Source organism: Homo sapiens, chromosome 1 (assembly GCF_000001405.40).
Source record: "Homo sapiens chromosome 1, GRCh38.p14 Primary Assembly".
NCBI lineage: Eukaryota > Metazoa > Chordata > Mammalia > Primates > Hominidae > Homo > Homo sapiens.
In genome coordinates, this window is record NC_000001.11 from 45,894,219 (window position 1) to 45,914,349 (window position 20,131).

Genomic DNA, 20,131 nt, shown 5'->3' on the forward strand with positions numbered 1-20,131 from the left:
AAAAAAAAAAAAAAATTACACTGAAAGTTTTATTTTATTATTTTCTACACGTAGGATCTGATTTGGGAAAGACAAATCTTCAAATAATCGTTAGTGGAAACACTTAAGATAGGATTGTTGGTGCTTGAGAAATAATACCTGGTTACTTATTTAACCGAAGTGACGGTAAAACATTTATAAACAAACATAGAAAGTAACACAATTTTAAATAACTGTAGTTTTTTTTATGAGGAGCCCTATGCTTGCTTGATTAAGGACCTGATAAGTCAGCATAAAGCACAGAAAATTTTTCTAGCAAGACACAAAATATTTGCTAACTAGGCGTATTACATAGCAAAAGAATATACTTTAATATTGTAGGTAATGGATGGCAGTAAACAGTAAACCAAGGACATGGACTCACCAAAACTGAATAAATTATTTGCTAAAATTTTAACCAGTTTTAGCTTTTCAGACTCAGGTATTATAAACCATGACAGCCAAAATTCACATTCCGAGTTGTGCCCTTCATTAGTCTTCATACTCTGGAACAGACTTATGCTTTACTTGAGTACAAGTTTTAGGGGTTCTCAAGGTCACAATTAATTTGATAATGAGTACTAAGATGTTATTAAGATGCAGTGCATTTTTAGTGTTATCATCAAATGAATCAGTAAGTGTTTTTTAATGTCTCAGTTTCCATTTTCAATACTGTAATTATTGATGGTTATATCCCACAGAAACAATTTGGGGTCCTTCATTTTATGAATTTTGGCAAATATATATACCCATGTAACTACAACCACAATTAATAGATAGAACATTTTTCTTACCCCCAAATATTCCTTCTGTAGTTTTGCAGTCAATCCCATCTTCCACATCTTGGCCTCAGGCAACCACTGATCTATTGTTTGGCACTACAGATTAGCTTTGCCTGTGGTAGAATTTCATATAAATGAAAATGACAAATGACCTGCTTTTTTGTAATTGGCTTCCTTTATGTTTCAGTGTTTCCTTTTGTGACTATACCACTATTTGATGGATATTTGGGTTGTTTCTAGTTTTTGGATATTATGAATAAAGCTGCTATAATCATTCATGTATAAGTTTTTTTTTTATGGGCATATGTTTTCATTTCTCTTGGGTACATACCCGGGATTGGTCAGCCCATAAAATCAGTGTCCCACTCTGCTGCCACAAATGGGAATAACTTAGCTATAAATAAATACAAAACAAAACCCAGTTATGTAAAGAAAAATTGAAATTAGAAATGTGGAGATTCCGTAAACTTCTTTGTTCATCTGGGAGCCAACTTCAGATTACCACTTCAGATTTACCTGTGGGAACCAAGCACTGATGTACATGGATGGTCCACGTGAGGTGTACTTCTCTGATGTGACTCACAGGTTAATTCTTTGGACATTTGGTGGAAGACTTCCAAAACTGTTTAACAGACAGTTTTTTTAAAAAAAGTAAAAACAAAAAATCATGGCTTTCATCCAGATATAAAATGAAAACATTCAAAGATGAAAGAAAAACAGCATATCATCAAAGAGAGAAACAGGCAAATATTACAACCAATTCCATTATCAATTTTTATACAATTGAAAATGGCAAAATGTCAAAAATGACAGTTGAATTAACACTGCACATGTCTATGTGTTCATCTATTTAAATGAGCAATAAAGTAAAGGCAAATTCATAAATTATTAAAATATTTACACTTTTCTTTGGCTTTATTTTTACCAAAATTGTTATTTGTAATCAATAATTTCTTGTAAATTGTATTCTTTTAATAACAATGCCAAATGAAACAGACTTTCTTGAATGACTATATTTCTTAGATTTTTTTTTTTTTTTTGAGACCGAGTCTTGCTCTGTTGCCCAGGTTGGAGTGCAGTGGCACTGCAACCTCTGCCTCCCTGGTTCAAGGAATTCTCATGCCTCAGCCTCCCGAGTAGCTGGGACTACAGACATGGGTGCCACCACACCTGGCTAATTTTTGTGTTTTTAGTAGAGATGGGGGTTTCACCATATTGGCCAGGCTAGTCTCGAACTCCTGACCTCAAGTGATCCGCCCTCCTTGGTCTCCCAAAGTGCTGGGATTACAGGTGTGAGCCACTGTACTTAGCCTCTTAGATTTTTATTTTAATATTTACCGGTTTATAGGATATTGCAAAGGATAGAGATGAAGAGATTCATAGGGTGAGTTACTAGGGAAGGGGCAGGGAGCTTCTGTGCCCTCCCCAGCCGTGTCACTTCAATAACTTCCATGTGTGCAGCCATCCTGAAGCTCACTGAACCCTGTCCTCTTGGGTTTTTATGGAAGCTTCATGAAGTCAATATTTCTTGCCCCAGGTGTAGGGTGGAACTCTCTCATGGGAGAGCCTTAAGACCCACAGTCAGAAAGGTTGGGGAACATTAAAGTGAAAGGAGAGCTGGAGAAGGTCAGAGGCCTGCCCCTGAGGCCTAACGCAGCCAACATTCTAACAAAAGACTGTAACTAGGGCTATGGGAGTTGTAAGCCAGAAACCGTAGATTAAAACCAGTATGTATATCATAACACCACAGGTCACCCCCTAGTTTGTGACCACAGATCTTTTATATCAAACAATATTTGTATATGCAGTCATTAATCATTAGTCCAGTACATCATATTGTATGAATGTCTCCCAGGATGAGGCCATTCCGGTTTGCAAGTTTCCTAAATCTTGTCAAGTTCCAAAAGCAGGATTGGCCTTGGTAAACACACAGCTTCATACTTTCATGCATCTGGAATAATTGAGCTTGAGATAGTATCATCTTTTGTTCTTAGACTCTTTTGGGCTGTTAACATAACATTGAATTTTCCTCAGTTAGTAACCCTAACTCATTTATTCACTTCTTTACTTTCAGCTATGGTTTCTCCTTCTTTCCGTTTATACCCAAATTTTTTCACCTCTGAAAGGGACATTAGAATCTTCTTGTGCTGTTCCAGATTGCAGGCAGCAATACAAGTCTAGGAGTAGGTCTTCCTCAGTCCACTCCCATTCAGATAGGGTAAAGTTATATAGGAGCAGAACTAGTGAGCTATTTTTACCATCAGGCAATATAGTTGCATTCACTGTTAGTCCCACTTTTGCTAAATGGGGTGAAAGCACTACTCACCCCAGTAATGTTCTTAGGAATTTTGCCATTAGGTTTAAAAACATAGTTACAGTTTTTTCTTAGAAATCATCTCTGATGTTTCAGCACTTGTAGTTGCAACCCTGGTCCTAGGACCACTGCATCAGGTAGGAGAGAAAAAATAAATTTTTTAAAGGTGATTTGGGGAGGAAAGAAAAAACTATAGGCTAGGCGAAGTGGTCATGCCTGTAATCCCAGCACTTTGGGAGGCCAAGGCAGGAGGATTGCTTGAGCTCAGGAGTTTGAGACCAGCCTGGGCAACATGGCAAAACCTGTCTCTACCAAAAATACAAAAAATTAGCTGGGTGTGGTGGCACTTGCCTGTGGTCCCAGCTACTCGAGAGGCTGAGGTGGGAGGATCTCTTGAGCCCTGGAAGCGGAGGTTGCGGTGAGCCATAATCACGCCGCTGCACTCCAGCCTGGGCAACAGAGCAAGACCCTGTCTTAAAAAAACAAATAGAGCCAGGCACAGTGGCTCATACTTGTAATCCCAGCACTTTGGGAGGCCAAGGCAGGCAGATCACCTGAGGTCAGGAGTTCGAGACCAGCCTGGCCAACATATAGTGAAACTCCGTCTCTACTAAAAATACAGAAAAATTAGCTGGGCATGGTGGTGCATGCCTGTAGTCCCAGCTACTTGGCAAGCTGAGGTGGGAGAATCGCTTGAACCTGGGAGGTGGAGGTTGCAGGGAGCCGAGATGGCTCCGCTGTACTCCAGCCTGGGCGACAGAGTGAGACTCTGTCTCTCAAAAACAAACAAACGAAACCAAAAAAAGAAAAGAAAAAGAAAAAATTATAGTAGTTATACAAGTGCGCTCCTCCCCTGGTAAGAATTGTGTAGTCATACTAGCATCCTCCCCATCCCCTCTTCCTCAGATCAACCAGAAAAACAGAGAAAAAGTCCCACGTTAAGTATGAGCACATACGTCCTTATGATCGCCTGTAAGCCAGCCCTTCATGCTTTTTATCTCCCCCTGTTTTAGACAACCAATGTTTCAATTGCCCATTCTACTTCTCTATCAAACTATTACTCTAAGGAGGATATCTCACTCTGTCCATTGTTGGACATTATGGGCTGTATAGTGTGTTCCTTGGTCTGAAGAATGATGGTGGGCCATCCAAATCCATGCAATATCTTCCGTTCTGTTTTTTTTGTTGTTGTTGTTTTTGTTTTTACTCTGAGAATTTTTATCTTCCATGGGATAAGCAAAGCCCACTCCAGAGTCAGTGTCTATTCCTGTCAAGACCCCTTTGTAGCTCCCAGGGCTACCGGCATCAGTCTCATTTGCCAGCCATGTTCAGGGCCTTCCTACCAGAGAATCTGCGCCATAGCCATCAGCAATCTCTGTCTCTGTTGCTGAGAAACAGAACAGTTCTTTCTGGCATTTTGTACCTGAAAGGGTGCAAAAGGATCATGTCTAGATTCAGCTCACCTCTGCACTGCTGCATTGCCCCCATACTCACTTTTTTTCAGGGACTGAGTTGGCCACCTCAAGGGAGCACATGGGATGTCTACTTATCCATCCCTGTCACCTTAATGCATCCCTCAAATCTCCTTAGGGCCATGCTCCATATGGGCATTCTTTTAACAGGCCAGATTTCCATTGTCCTCTCACCTGAGTATATAGCCAAGCCATTGGTTACATTGCATGAGGTCAGTAAAGACTCAAACACAGGGGCTTCTACCATTGTTCAATTCTTCCATCAGTCACTGTTAGAAAAATATAATGCAATTCAGCCCACCAAGCAGATCTGTTTTTACCTTCTTTGATCAGAGGAGTAGTCTTCCAAAGCAGGATGATGGTTTTCATTTACCTTGGAATTGCCATCCATGAACCAAACAGCTCTTGATCAATTTTTTTTAATTAAATTTTATTTGGAGGAGATTTGCTCTGCTGAAGCAATAGAAATTAGAATTGGCCAAAAATATTTTTCCTTTCTTTTCTTTTTTTTTTTTTTTTTTTTAGATTCAGGGGTACATGTGCAGGATTGTTACATGGATATATTGTGTAATGCTGGGGTTTCGGCTTCTAGTGAACCCATCAGCCAAATAGTGAACATAATACTCAATAGGTAGTTTTTCTATGCTTGCCATACCTCCTCTCCCCTTTTGGAGTCCCCAGTGTCTATTGTTTCCATCTTTATGACCACACGTACCCATTGTTTAGCTCTCACTTATAAGTGAGTACACATGGTATTTGATTTTCTGTTTCTGAGTTATTTCATATAGAATAATGGCCTCCAGCTACATCCACATTGCTGCAAAGGACAGGATTTCATTCTATTTATGGCTGCATAGTATTCCATGGTATATATGTACCACATTTTCTTTATCCAATCTACTGATGGTGGGCACCTAGGTTGATTTCATGAATTTGTATTGTGAATAGTGCTGCGATAAATGTACCAGTGTAGGTGTCTTTTTGATAAAATAATTTTCTTATGCTATGTCATCAGGCCCAAGGGGAAAAAAAGAGCTTTACAATTAAAAAAAAATTTTTTTTTTTAAGATTTCTTTTCCCGGCCCAGCGCGATGGCTTACACCTGTAATCCCAGCACTTTACTTTGGGAGGCTGAGGCAAGTGGATCACAAGGTCAGGAGTTCAAGAACAGCCTGGCCAACATGGTAAAACCCTGTCTCTACTAAAAATAAAAAAATTAGCCAGGCATGGTGGTGTGCACTTTTAGTCCCAGATGCTTGGGAGGCTGAGGCAGAAGAATTGCTTGTACCTGGGAGCCAGTGGTTGCAGTGAGCCGAGATGGTGCCACTGCACTCCAGCCTGGGCGACAGAGCGAGACTCTCTCTCTCTCAAAAAAAAAAAAAAAAAAAAAAGATTTACCCTTGGGTAGATAGCCAGTAGTGGGATTGCTAGATCAAATGGTAGTTCTATTTTTAGTTCTGTGGAAATCACTATACTATTTTCTGTAGGGGTTGAACTAATTTACATTCCCACCAACAGTATATAAGCATTCCCTTTTCTCTGCATCCTCACCAACATCTGTCATTTTCCATTCTGACTGGTATAAGATGGTATCTTATTGTGGTTTAATTTTCATTTCTCTGATGATTAGTGATGTTGGATATTTTTTTTTTTTTTTTTTTTTTTTTTTTTTGAGACGGAGTCTCGCTCTGTCGCCCAGGCCGGACTGCGGACTGCAGTGGCGCAATCTCGGCTCACTGCAAGCTCCGCTTCCCGGGTTCACGCCATTCTCCTGCCTCAGCCTCCCGAGTAGCTGGGACTACAGGCGCCCGCCACCGCGCCCGGCTAATTTTTTGTATTTTTAGTAGAGACGGGGTTTCACCTTGTTAGCCAGGATGGTCTCGATCTCCTGACCTCATGATCCACCTGCCTCGGCCTCCCAAAGTGCTGGGATTACAGGCGTGAGCCACCGCGCCCGGCCGATGTTGGATATTTTTTTCATGAGTTTGTTGGTCACTTGTCTTCTTTTGTGTCTGTTCGTTTCTATTGCCTACTTTTTAGCAGATTTATTTGTTTTTTTCTTACGATTTAAGTTCCTTATAGATTCTGGATATTAGTCCTTTGTTGGATGCGTAGTTGGCAGATATTTTCTCCCATTCTATGGGTTGTCTTTTTATTCTGTTGATTGTTTCTTGTGCTGTACAGAAGCTCTTTAGTTTAATTAAGTCTCATTTGTCCATTTTCGTTTTGGTCATATTTGTTTTTGAGGTCTTAGTCATAAATTATTTGCCTAGGCCAATGTCCATAAGAGTTTTTCCTAGGTATTCTTTTAGGGTTTTTATAGTTTCAGGTCTTAAATTTAAATTTTTAATCCATCATGTGTTAATTTTTATATATGGTGAGAGATAGGGGTCCAGTTTCATTCTTCTGCATATGGCTAGCCAATTTTCCCAGCACCATTCATTGAATGGAGTGTCCTTTCCCCATTGATTATTGTGGTCAACTTTGTTGAAGATCACTTTACTGTAGGTGTATGGATTGACTTCTGGGTTCTCTGTTTTATTTCATTGAGCTGTGTGTCTGTTTTTGTACCAGTACCATGATGTTTTGGTGACTATAGCCTTGTAGTATAATTTGAAGTCGAGTAGTGTGATGCTTCCAGCTTTGTTATTTTTGCTTACGATTGCTTTTACTATGTGGGCTCTTCTTTGGTTCCATATGAATTTTGGAATGGTTTTTTCTGATTCTGTGAAAAACGACATTGGTAATTTGATTAAAATTGCTTTGGGCAGTGTAGTCATTTTCACGATATTGATTCTTCCTATCCATGATCATAGGATGTTTTTCCATTTGTTTGTGTTGTCTGTGATTTCTTTCATCAGTGTTCTTTAGCTCTCCTTGTAGAGGTCTTTCATCTTCTTGGTTAAATGTATTCCTAAGTATTTTATTTTGGTTGTGGCAATTGTAAATGGGATTGAGTTCTTGATTTGATTCTGAGCTTGAATGTTGGTATATAGAAATGCAACTGATTTGTGCATTAATTTTATATCCTGAAACTTTACTAAAATTGTTTATTGGGTCTAGGAATCATTTGGAGTAATGTTTAGGGTTTTCTAGGTATAGGATTATGTTGTTAGTGAACTGATATAATTTGACTAACTCTGTTCCTATTTGGATGCTTTTTATTTTTTTCTCTTGCCTAATTGCTCTGGCTACCACTTCCAGTACTATGTGGAATAGGAGTAGTGGGAGTGGACATCCTCGTGTTGTTCCATTTCTTAGAGGGAATGTTTTCAGTTTTTGCCCATTCAGTATGATGCTATTGGCTGTGAGTTTATCATATATGGTTGTTACTATTTTGAGGTGTCTTCCTTCAATGCCTAATTCGTTGAAGGTTTTTAATCATGAAGTGATGTTGGATTTTATCAGATGCTTTTTCTGTGTCTGTTGACATGATCATATGGTTTTTGTTTTTTATTCTGTTTATGTGGTGAATCACATTTATTGATTTGTGTACGCTGAACCATCCTTGTGTCCCAGGCATAAAACCATTTGATCATGATCCAGTTATCATCTTGATGTGCTGCTGGATTCAGTTTACTAGTATTTTGTTGAGGATTTTTACATTCATGTTCATCAGGGATATTGGCCTGTAGTTTTTTTGTTGTGTCCTTCTCAGATTTTGGTATCAGGATGATACTGATTTAGTAGAACGAGCTAGGGAAGAATCCCTCATACTCAATTTTTTTTTTTAATAGTTTCAGTAAGAGGTACAGTTCTTCTTTGTACATCTGGTAGAACTTGGCTGTGAATCCTTCTGGTCCTGGGCTTTTTTTTTTGGTTCGTAGATTTTTAAATTACTGATTCAGTTTTATAGCTCATTATTGGTCTGTTCAGGATTTCCATTTCTTCCTGGTTCATTCTTAAGAGTTTGTGTGTTTTGAGGAATTTATTCATGTCTTCTAGGTTTCTCTGGTTTATGCTCATAGAGATGTTATAGTAGTCTCTGAGGAGCTTTTGTGTTTCTGTGATATCAGTTGTAATGCCACTTTTGTCATTTCTGATTGTGCTTATTTAAATCTTCTCTTTTCTTGGTTAATCTACCTAGCAGTTTAACAGTTTTGTTTATCCTTTGAAATAACCCACTTTTTGTTTTGTTGCTCCTTTATGTCATATTTTTGGTCTCAATATCATTTAGTTCTGCCCTGATCTTTATTTCTTTTCTTCAGCTAGATTTGGGTTTGGCTTGTTTTTGCTTTTCTAGTTTCTTTAGCTATGATGTTAGGTTGTTAATTGAGATCTTTCTTTTTGATGTTAAGCATTTAGCACTATAAATTTTTGTCTTTTTTTTTTTTTTTTTTTTTGGAGACAGAGTCTCACTCTGTCGCCCAGGCTGGATGCAGTGGCGTGATCTCGGCTTACTGCAACCTCTGCCTCCCAGGCTCAAGCAATTCTTCTGCCTCAGCCTCTTGAGTAGCTGGGATTACAGACACTTACCACCATGCCTGGCTAATTTTTGTATTTTTAGTAGAGACAGGGTTTCACCATGTTGCCCAGGCTGGTCTCAAACTCCTGAGCTCAGGCAATCCTCCCGCCTTGGCCTCCCAAAGTGCTGGGATTACAGGCATGAGCCACTGTGCCTGGCCTAAACTTAACTTAGCAGTCTAAACACTGCTTTTGTTGTATTCTAGAGGTTTTGGTATGTTGTGTCTCTATTTTCATTTATTTCAAAACATTTTTTGATTTCTGCCTTAATCTCATTGTTTACTGTAAAGTCATTCGGGAGCAAATTGTTTAGTTTCCATGTACTTGTGTGGTTTTGAGAGTTCCTCTTGATGTTGATTTCTAATTTTATTCCATGAGGTCTGAGAAGATGGTTGATATGATTTTTATTTTTGAAAAATTTATTGAGACTAGCTTTATGACCGAACATGTGGTCAATTTTAGAGAATGTTCTGTGTGCACATGAGAATGAGTTTAGAAGTGGATTCTTCCTGAATCGGGTCTCCATATGAAAACATAGCCCAGGTGACACCTTGCTTGCAGCTTTAAGAGACCCTAAGCAAGGACCCAGCTAAGCTGTGCTTGAATTCCTGAATCAGAAACTGTGAGATAGTAAATGTGTATTGTTTTAGGTGGCTAAGTTTTTGCTAATTTGTTATGCAATAGAAAACTAATACATCATGAAAGTCCACTTTTCCTATGTTCTTGCTTGCTTATTTGCTTATTTATTTGTTTAGACACAGGGTCTCAGTTGGCTAAGCTGGAATGCAGTAGCAGTATCATAGCTCATTGCAATCTTAAACTCCTGGTCTCAAGTGATCCTCCCACCTCAGCCTCCCTAGTAGCTGGGACTATAGGTGTGTGCCACTGCACCCAGCTAATTTTTAATTTTTTTTTTTTTTTGAGACGAAGGCTTACTCTTGTCCCCCAGGCTGGAGTGTGATGGCGTGATCTCAGCTCACTGCCAACCTCTGCCTCCCAGATTCAAGCGATTCTCCTGCCTCAGCCCCCTGAGTAGCTGGGATTACAGGCGCCTGCCACCATGCCCGGTTAATTTTTATATTTTTAGTAGAGGTGTGGTTTTACCATGTTGGCCAGGCTGATCTAGAACTCCTGACTTCAGGCGATCCACCTGCCTTGGCCTCCCAATGTGCTGAGATTACAGGCATGAGCCACCGTGTCCGGCCTTAAATTTTTTTTAGGCAGGGTCTGGCTATGTTGCCTAGGCTGGGGTGCATTCGCGCAATCACAGCTCACTGCAGCCTTGAACTGGGCTCAAGCAGTACTCCTACCTTAGCCCCCCCAAGTAGCTGGGACTATAGACACATGCCACCATACCCAGCTAATTTTTGTATTTTTTGTAAAGATGGGATTTTGCCATATTGCCCAAGCTGGTCTCAAACTCCTGAGTTCAAGTGATCCACCCTGCTTGGCCTCCCAGAGTGCTAGGATTACAGGCACGAGCCACCGCACCCAACCCAGACTGTCATTTTCTTGCTTTTAGTTTTTGTGTATTTTATTGCAATGCCACTTTTTTTGAGAGAGAGGCCTTGCTCTGTTGCCCAGGCTGGAGTGTAGTGGTGTGATCATGGCTCACTGCAACCTCAGCCTCCCGGGTTCAAGTGAGTCCCCCACCTCAGACTCTCAAGTAGCTGGGACCACAGGGACATGCCATCATGCCTGGCTAATTTTTTTTAACTTTATTATAAATAGGTGATCTCCCTATGTTGCTCATCTTGGTCTCATACTCCTGAGCTCAAGTGATCCTCCTGCCTTGGCCTCCCAAAGTTCTGGGATTGTAGGCATGAGCCAGCGCACCTGGTCACAAAGTTACTTTTGTTGTAGTATCTGGTACATGAAAACCCTTTTGACTAAAATATGTTTAATCTTTTTTTTTTTTTTTTTTTTGAGGCAGAGTCTTGCTGTGTCACTCAGGCTGGAATGCAGTGGCACCATCTCAGCTCACTGCAACCTCCACCTCCCAGGTTCAAGTGTTCAAGTGATTCCTCTGCCTCAGTATCCCAAGTAGCTGGGAGTACAGGCATGCGCCACCGCATCTGGCTAATTTTTTTGTATTTTTAGTAGAGACTGGATTTCACCATGTTTGTCAGGCTGGTCTCGAACTCCTGACTTCAAGTGATCTGCCCGTCTTGGCCTCCCAAAGTGCTGGGATTATAGGCATGTTTAATCTTTTAAAAAATGAAAGAGCCGGCTGTGCGCGGTGGCTCACGCCTATAATCTCAGCACTTTTGGAGGCCAAGGCGCGGATCACGAGCTCAGGAGTTTGAGACCATCCTGGCTAACACAGTGAAACCCCGTCTCTACTAAAAACACAAAAAATTAGCTGGGCATGGTGGCGGGCACCTGCAGTCCCAGCTACTTGGGAGGCTGAGGCAGGAGAATGGCGTGAACCCAGGAGGCGGAGCTTGCAGTGAGCTGAGATCGCGCCACTGCACTGCAGCCTGGGAGACAGAGCAAGACTCTGTCTCAAAAAAAAAAAAATGCCAAACTTAGATTTAGGATACTACCCCTAACCCCCATCAAATGGTAACTGGTAAGTGTATGTTTAAGTTTCTAAAAAATTGCCACATAATTTTCCAAAATGTTTATACTGTTGTACTTTCCTACTAGGGATGTCGAGGGTTCCAGTTGGCCCACGTCCACATCAAAACTTGTTATGATCAGATTTGAGCCATTTTATTGAGTGTATACTGGTATATCATTGTGGTTTTGACTTACATTTCCCAGATGAATAATGATGGTGAATATGTTTTTCCTGTCCTTATTTGCCATTTGTGAATCTTTTGTGAAATGTGTTCAGATATTTTGCTTATTTTGAAAAAAAGAATAAAAAATTACTGAGTTGTACAAGTTATTTATATATTTCAGATGCAGATATTTTGTCAGATATATATAGTCATGCAATACCATGCAATGTTTTGGTCAACAACAGACTGCATAGACACTGGTGATCCCATAAGATTATAAAGGAGCTGAAAGTGACATCTTGATGATCCTGACCCTGTGTACACTTAGGCTAAAGTGTATGTTTGTGTCTTCATTTTTGGCAAAAACATTTAAAAAGAAATAATAAATTTAAAATTTAAAAATAAAAAACAGCCTATAGCCTGCAGATGTAGAGAACAAAAATATTTTTGTGGAGCAGTACAATATGTGTTTTAAGGGTAAAGTTAAAACTTAAAGAATTTAAGGTGAAAATGTTACAGTAAGCTAAGATTAATTTATTGTTAAAAAAATAATGTAGCCTAAGTGTACAATGTTTATATGTTATTATTATATAATGTTGTATATATTATTGTTATTATATAATTATATTATATGTTATTTTATATGATACAATTATATAATATATAATTATATAAGTTTGTAACATATAATAATTATATTATATGTTTATATAATGTTATTATGCAATATTAAATAGTGTAGCCCAAGCATACAATGTTTCTATAAAGTCTACAGTAGTAGACAGTAATGTGCTAGATCTTTACATTTACTCACCACTCACTCAGTCACCCAGAGCAAGTTCTAGTCATGCAAACCCCACTCATGGTAAGTGCCCTATACAAGTGTACCATTTCTATCTTTTACATGTATTTTTACTGTACCTTTTTTATGTTTAAATGCACAAATACTTACCATTGTGTTACAGTTGCTTACAGTATTCAATGCAGTAACATGCTATACAGGTTTGCGGCCTGGAAGCAGTCTATAGGCTATACAATACCATATAGCCTATGTGTGTGGTAGGCTATACCATCTAGGTTTATGCAGGTATACTCCATGATGTTCACATAATGATGAAATCGCCTAACAATGCATTTCTCAGAAGGTATCTCTGTTGTTAAGTGATGCATCACTATATATATTGTGACTTATTTTTCTCCAGCTTGTCTTTTCCTTTTTGGAAGGATGTCTTTCAGAGAGCAGAAGGTCTTAATTTTGATGTTCTTTGTGAGTTTTTATAGTTAGTACTCACTCATTCTGTCCAAGAAATCTGTGCCCATCCCAAGATCATGAAGATTTTCTCCAATGTTTTCTTCTAGAAGTTTGTAATTTTAGCTTTTATGTTTGAATCTTAACTCCTTTTGAATTAATTTCTTTAAAGTCTTAAAAATTATGGCAAGGTATATATAACAAAATTTGCCATTTTAACTTTTTTTTTTTTTTTTGAGAGAGTCTCGCTCTTATCACCCAGGCTGTGCAGTGGCGTGATCTCAGCTCACTGCAGCCTCTGCCTCCCAAATTCAAGCAATTCTTGTGCCTCAACTTCTGGCATTTTAACCATTTTTAAGTATACAATGTAATGACATTAACTATATTCACAATGTCATGCAACTGTTGTCACCATCTATTTCTAAAACTTTTCCATGGTCCCAGGTAGAAACTCTGTGCCCATTAAGCAGTAACACCCTTCTTCCCTTACCCCAGGCCTTGGCAGTCTCTGTTCTACTTTCTTTTTCTATGCATTTGCCTCTTCTAAATACTTCATATCAGTGGAATCATATAGTATTGTTCATTTGTGTCTGGCTTATGTCACTTAGCATAATGCACATCTATATTAAAGTCAGTTTTGGTAAGTTATTTTTTGAACTTTTTGTCTATTTTAAATAAGTTATAGAATGTATTGGCATAAATTGTTCCTGCTATTCTCTTATTATTCTTTTGCTGTCTTTAGATTTGTTGTGATAACTCATCTTTTATTTCTGATATTGATGATTTATGTTTTCTCTCCTTTTCTTCTTGATGTCTATTACTGTGGTTTTATTAATTTTATTAATATTGTCAAAGAACCAATTTTTGGTTTTGTTAATTTTTTTATTTTCTGTTCCTAATTTCTGCTTTCTTTTCTTTATTATATTTTGAATTTAATTTACTTTTAAGTTTTTTTAAATTGTTTTTTATTATACTTTAAGTTCTGGGATACATGTGCAGAACGTACAGGTTTGTTACATAGGTATACACATGCCATGGTGGTTTGCTGCACCCATCAACCCATAATCTACATTAGGTATTTCTCCCAATGCTATCCCTCCCTGGACTTTTTAAAGTTTTTAATGCAGAGGTATGGATTAGTGATTTCAGGTCTTCCTTTTTTGATATAAGCATTTAAAGCTATATATGTGCCTCTAAGCACTCCTTTAACTGTATTCCATAATTTGGTGTGTGTGTCTTTATTATAGTGTAATTCAAAATATTTTCTAATTTTCTTTGTCATTTCATCTTTGACCAATAGATTATTTAGAAATATGTGGTTTCGTTTCCAAATATTGGAAGATTTTATATTTTATTGTAGTTGATTTCTAATTTAATTCTGTTGTGGTTAGACAGCATAATTTATGGAATTTCAATATTTTGAAATTTCTTGAGACTTTTTTTATGGCCTAGCATGTGGTCTTTCTTGGTGAACATGCAATGTCTGCTTGATTAGCTTACCTGAACTCTAGCCCATGCCTCCTCAGCTTAGTGGAACTACTGTGCTCTGCTTGAACTCTAGCTGTCTGCCCTTGTAAGAAAATTGCTCCCAGGCAGCTGAGGAGGGAGCAGCCTGACTTTTGAGTTTCCCTTCTTTCTGGGTTTTCTTTCTTGCATTACATGTGTCCCAGTGCCTGAAAACTATTACATTGTATATTTTGTCTATTCTTATGGTAATTTGTAGTAGAATGGCTAGTTCTCTTTCGGTAATGTCATAGTTACAGGTGGAAGTTTGCCAATCTTTAGGTCCCTGCCTAAAATCGAAACTTTTTTTCTTTAGTTCTCACTGAAGACAAAGCGTGTACTTTTTACATCAAATGTAAAGCTATAAAATTCTCATTTATTTCTACTTTCTTGTTTTCTTCTTTAGGTAACTCGACAGTATGTAAAGTTTGTTGTTTAACATGACTTTTGTCCCTGTTATAATCTATAGAACTGAATAATATTTACTTAAAAAAGTTAGGTATCTTTTTCTCACTTTATTATCAGTTAAATAAATAATTTCATTTAAGGCTTTATCATAGGCAGTGACTGTTTTATCATTTTAAAAATCATTCTTATATGTGCAGCCATTTTAACGTTACTTTTCAATATCATTTACGTTAAACCTATAAATTTTCCATTGTTTTCTGTGACTATTTTTAAACCATCGGAGGAGAGGGGAATCTGGCTAAATATTGTATATATAATATTATGCTTTTAAGAACAATCACACCATCATTCTATATCGTCTTTTTTTTTTTTTCCTTCTTTTTGGAGACAGAGTCTGGCTCTGTCGCCAGGCTGGAGTGCAGTGGTGTGGTCAATTCACTGCAACCTCCCCCTCCTGGGTTCAAGTGATTCTTCTACCTCAGCCTGCCAAGTGGCTAGGACTACAGGCATGCGCCCCCACGCCCAGCTAATTTTTGTATTTTTAGTAGAGACGGGGGTTCACCATGTTGACCAGGATGGTCTTGATCTCTTGACCTCGTGATCCACCCACTTTTGCCTCCCAAAGTGCTGGGATTACAGGCGTGAGCCACCCCACCTGGCCCTTTCTTTTCTTTTTTGAAGACAGTCTCGCTCTGTCGACCAGGCTGGAGTGCAGTGGTGCCGTCTCGGCTCCCTGCAACCTCCGCCTCCCGGGTTCAAGTGATTCTCCTGCCTCAGCCAGGCTGGTCTCGAGTTCCTGGGCTCAAGAGATCTGCCTGCCTCGGCCTCCCAAAGTGCTGGGATTACAGGCATGAGCCACTGTGCCCAGCTACTTGTCTTTTTTGAATACTCTGGTTTATTTTCTGTGTTTCCAATCTTCAGTGATAGTAATTGTGTAAGTACTTTTTGTGTGCAGTTGTTTTTTTTTTTTTTCCCCAAATTTAAGCAGACTAGCTTATTTGTAGATTTTCTCTTTTTCCTCTTCTAAGCTCCACTGTCTTATTTTTCTGTCTATGTTGGGATCACAACGTACTCATTTTCAGTGATCTGTAGGATTTAAAAATAAGACGTAGTTATATCCACAGAGTACAAAGTTTGAATATATTCTCATCAAAAATATAAAGCGTAAAAAATGGAAGTTTTTTATTCTTTTAAAAGTTATTTTTCTTTTAAATATTCAAAATTAATTTAAATAAGCTGAATTAAAAATTTTTGTAAGTACATATTTTTATAAAAATAAATTGTAATTCTAGCATTAACTGTTCAACCATTTATCAGTGTAATAAATTGGTTCCTTGCCTTACATGTGCCATTTCTAGACCTGCATATAAATACATTTACTAGTAATGTGAATTCCTTAATTCTGCAAAATGTTCCTCAATTGCTGTGTGCTACTGTTAGGAATAGTGAGCTAAATTATGAGTACCTTCAGAACTGTGAATTGGAACAGGAAGAAATCAAATAAATGGATGTTTGACTCTGTTAGGAGACAATACTTTCTTAGGAAAGGTATCTATGATATTGATGTTATTTGACAGGAAGGATATAACAGTTAATTTGTCTTGTCTTTTATTCTGACACCCTGTGCTCCTCAAATATTTCATAATCTCAGGCAGAGTTCTCTGAAGTTTGCAGTTTCACAGCCCATAAATGGCGTTCTGATATAGTTGCCTCTCTTTTAAAGGACATGGGAAGAAATATGTGGACAAAGGTTTTCCTGTGGTCTGAACTGTACAATTTGCAAGAATGGATTTTTAGGGTTCTGCTTTGCCAGTGCAGAATCTTGTGACAGAGGAAACCCCATTTCTTTAATTAATTTGTTTTGTGTGTGTGTGTTATTTTGCAGGATCTCTAAAGTGAGAAGCCCATAGCAGAGGCCTTTCTTCTGGCTCTACAGTCAATAAATAAATGTGTGAATGAATAAGAGAAGGCAGGTGTTTCTTTCACCATACTGCAAATTATTGAGCCCTGTCACCAGTCCCAGGGAAATGTTAGGCCTTCCTAGTCCTGGCAAAGTCACAGGAATATTGGCACAAATGGATTCTAATGCCACTAAAGAAAGTACTCTGTGTGGGGATGTGTTACCTGGAGGTAAAAGTAATATCTTCTTTGGTCAGATAAAGGATGTAAAATATGGCTTTCATTCTCTAAAAATCAAACAAATATTTTCTCACTTTGGCATTATTTAAGGAGCTCCGTGTTCTCTCTCCTCCACCCAAGGAGTACTGCTCTGCAATAGTACTGCTCTTCAATATATGCAGAGCAGGCTAGAAAGAATCCATTTGCTGCTGTTGTCAGAAATTTCTACTGAAAGGTAAAGCGCAGTGATTTATAGCATTGGAAACTTGAGTTAGACTGCTCCAGTTTACCAACTTGGCTGAAGACACTTCTGGCTAGTATAATTCATATATAGGTAACCAGGTGCCAACATATTGAGGAAATGCTACTTTTCTACTTACCATTGGCATGATCTTAACTTCTCTGTGTCTTTAAAAAATAATAATAATTTTAAAAATAATAATAATGGAATAATAGTACATATATCATATGGCTATGATGAGTACTACATGAATATTAATGTGTAAAATGCTTAGAATAGAACCTAATAGTTAAGCACTTAATAAATGTTGGTTGCTGTTATGTCATTATTATTATTGTTATATTATTATTATTATTATTATTATTATTATTATTATTATTATTATTATGTAGCCTGGTCTCGGGTATTAGAGAATTGGAGAATATTGAGTAGAAACTTAGGATTCAGCCATAACTGCAAGCCTTAGCTGGGGATGGGAGGATAGACCCAAGGTTGGGGCTTTTGGCAACTGACCCTGATATCATCACAAGGCTTTCCAAAGTAGGAGCCAGTACTTGTTGAGAACTGTTAGATTTCTAAGGTGTTCTAGTTATCTTTAGGACCTGCTACTGAACTGGGGATTCTGAAAAAAAGAGGGTGCTGAGAGGGCTGAATAATTGGACTAATACATGGAGAGGAAAAGTGAGGGCTTGTGGCTACTAGGTGGGTGAGTTTGCTTGGGTAATTAGAACAGTGGCTTTCAAACTTTTTAGACTTTGACTTCAATAACAAATAAAGTTTACATTATGACCCATCACACACGTTCGCATTTGTATATTTGTATGTATTTCAGTAATGGATGTCATAAACACACATTTCACAAAACAGTGCTTACCCTTGCTGTGTGCGAAGGACTAATATTTTCTTTTCTATTCTATTTCATTTGTATATGTACTTTTTGTGTGCAGGTAGTTTCCCTTTTTAGAAAATGTTGATCCTGACTTCCTAAATTGATATAATGTCTTACTAAAGAGGTGTGACCCACATTTGAAAAAGCACTGGTTTGCCTATGAGTTAGTCCTTTGAACATTACCCTAGAAAAAACAGTTTGATACGCTTTGTCATCTAGGTGAATGAGAGAAGCCCCTCAGAGTTGGCAGAGCCGCTGAAGCAGGGGACAAGACTTGCTTCTCTTTGGCTCTCTTAGCTGCCAGGGTTTAGCTCCACAGTTTACTTGATCACTTGGTTTTCTTGAGTCTAGGTTCTTTTTCTCAGATGTCTTCCTATTTGTTGGGACTAATCTCTTCCTTTAGACTGGGAGATTGCTCCAAGAGGGCAAGACTTACAGTAATAGCTAACACTTTTATAGTGCTTTCTCTGTGCTAGGCACTTTGCTGTTTACATGTATTAGTCCTCACCACAACCTATATATTAGGTACCTTAATGATCTTCATTTTACAGGTGGGGAAACCAAAGCATACAGAAGTATGCTTAGCTTACCCTTCAATAGAGGTCTTCTGCAACTTACCTTAAACATTAATGGATGAAATTAAGCTAGTTTCTGGGCTTATTTTCTTAACTTTCCTTATGGCTTTTCTTACCACAAGAATGATTAGAGAGTAATAGAAATTGAACAAAAAATGGCACTGAACTTTGTCTGAAGGAGTACAGTTTAGTTAAGTTGGTCAGATTCGGCATTTGAATAATGACTGTGCTTTGAGCCCTAACATTAAAGCCCTGTAGTCTTCCTTCAGGCTTGGGTTTGAGAATGAATAATGCTGCAGAAACGCCCACATAGTCTTCGCTCATTATTTTACCAGTTTCTTCCAGTCCCTTGCCCACTGCAACAGCTGTTTAGCCTGGCCCATGCCTTCTGGGTTAATAGTATTTCTGACACAGTGTGAGTTTTCAAGTTGCTATGTATAATTTCTGCCAGAGTTTTTACTGCCGCCAGGCCTCAGGGTTGGAGGTTGCAACTGATTTGTGGGGGAGGGAGTTTGGTGCTTGTCACTGACGCAGGAACAAGGTGCTTTCTGTAGCTCTGATTTGTTGCTGGCTGAGTGTGAATGATGTCAGGCAGATCAGAGGACAGCTGATTCATTTGGGATCTGGAACTTGTCACTGTCCCACTGCTGCCTCGTGGGCTCTTAGGTCTTTTGTGGGGGGATGGGAGGGGTGTTCTGAAGATCATGTTTTTGAAGAAAAGTACTTTAATTTTTGCCGTAAGTTTGGGAAGCTTTTATAATTTCCTTTGGCTGACAGAACTGCATACCCCTTGTGTGAGAGAACTTCCTACCAAGACTCCAGTGTGAGGGCAAAACTTGAGTAGCCAGGAGAATGATGAAACGGAGGCAAGAGAGACTGGGAGCACCATGTCTGCGGATTCAGTAAGGAGGTTGGGGTCTCTATGGAAACTGGCAGATGTCAGGAAAAAAAACTAATGCCAACTAACACAGCTTCGTTCATTTGGATGAAGACTGTTTTGGAGATGCCTGTCAGGAAGAGGGCTGAGCTGGCTTGATTAATTCAAGGTCAAAACAGTGGTCCTTGGCAGGGGCATATGAGGTTTCCAATTCCAGAAACTGAATTAGATGTCATTTTAGGGGTTCCTGAATACTTGGAGAACTGGGTAAAAAAATGAAGACAATTATTTTCTTCCCTTGAAAGCAAATGTTTATTTAAAGTTAGTGTCAAGGCTGCAAATACAAACCCCGTGAATGTGAGAAACCAATGGAAACAAAAAGTACCTCCTCCTTTGACTAGAGAGGGTATTGTATTTCTGCCCATGGCCTGTCAGCTCAGGACCTCAGATCTGCCCTTGCAGATTCAAGCATGGGTCCTTTAGGGTGTGACCTCT

At 38.6% G+C, this 20,131-nt stretch overlaps 1 protein-coding gene and 1 long non-coding RNA gene across 35 annotated transcripts in view; one reads left to right on the plus strand and one right to left on the minus strand.

Annotated features, from left to right (window-relative positions):
* The window catches only part of LOC105378694 (uncharacterized), a 41,351-nt gene extending 26,335 nt beyond the window's left edge, over positions 1-15,016 (minus strand). The window contains exons 1-3 of one of the 3 annotated variants that reach the window (XR_007066060.1): positions 12,729-12,808; positions 1,317-1,422; positions 813-913 (exon numbers count right to left, since the gene is read on the minus strand). This is a non-coding gene — a long non-coding RNA (uncharacterized LOC105378694). Of the gene's footprint in view, positions 1-812; positions 914-1,316; positions 1,423-12,728 lie in introns of all 3 variants that reach the window. The other 2 variants (XR_001738038.2, XR_001738037.3) reach the window with 2 other exon arrangements.
* MAST2 (microtubule associated serine/threonine kinase 2) overlaps positions 1-20,131 on the plus strand; it is a 232,511-nt gene that overhangs the window by 90,607 nt on the left and 121,773 nt on the right. For 2 of the 32 annotated variants that reach the window (XM_005270655.4, XM_006710477.4), the window contains exon 1: positions 19,374-19,661. The exons of 26 other annotated variants lie outside the window; for them this stretch is intronic. In XM_005270655.4, coding sequence (XP_005270712.1) covers positions 19,612-19,661 — 50 coding nt within the window. In that variant the 5' untranslated portion in view covers positions 19,374-19,611. Of the gene's footprint in view, positions 1-19,373; positions 19,670-20,131 lie in introns of those variants that run through there. 4 more of the 32 variants (XM_017000753.2, XM_047450138.1, XM_047450130.1 and 1 more) reach the window with 3 other exon arrangements.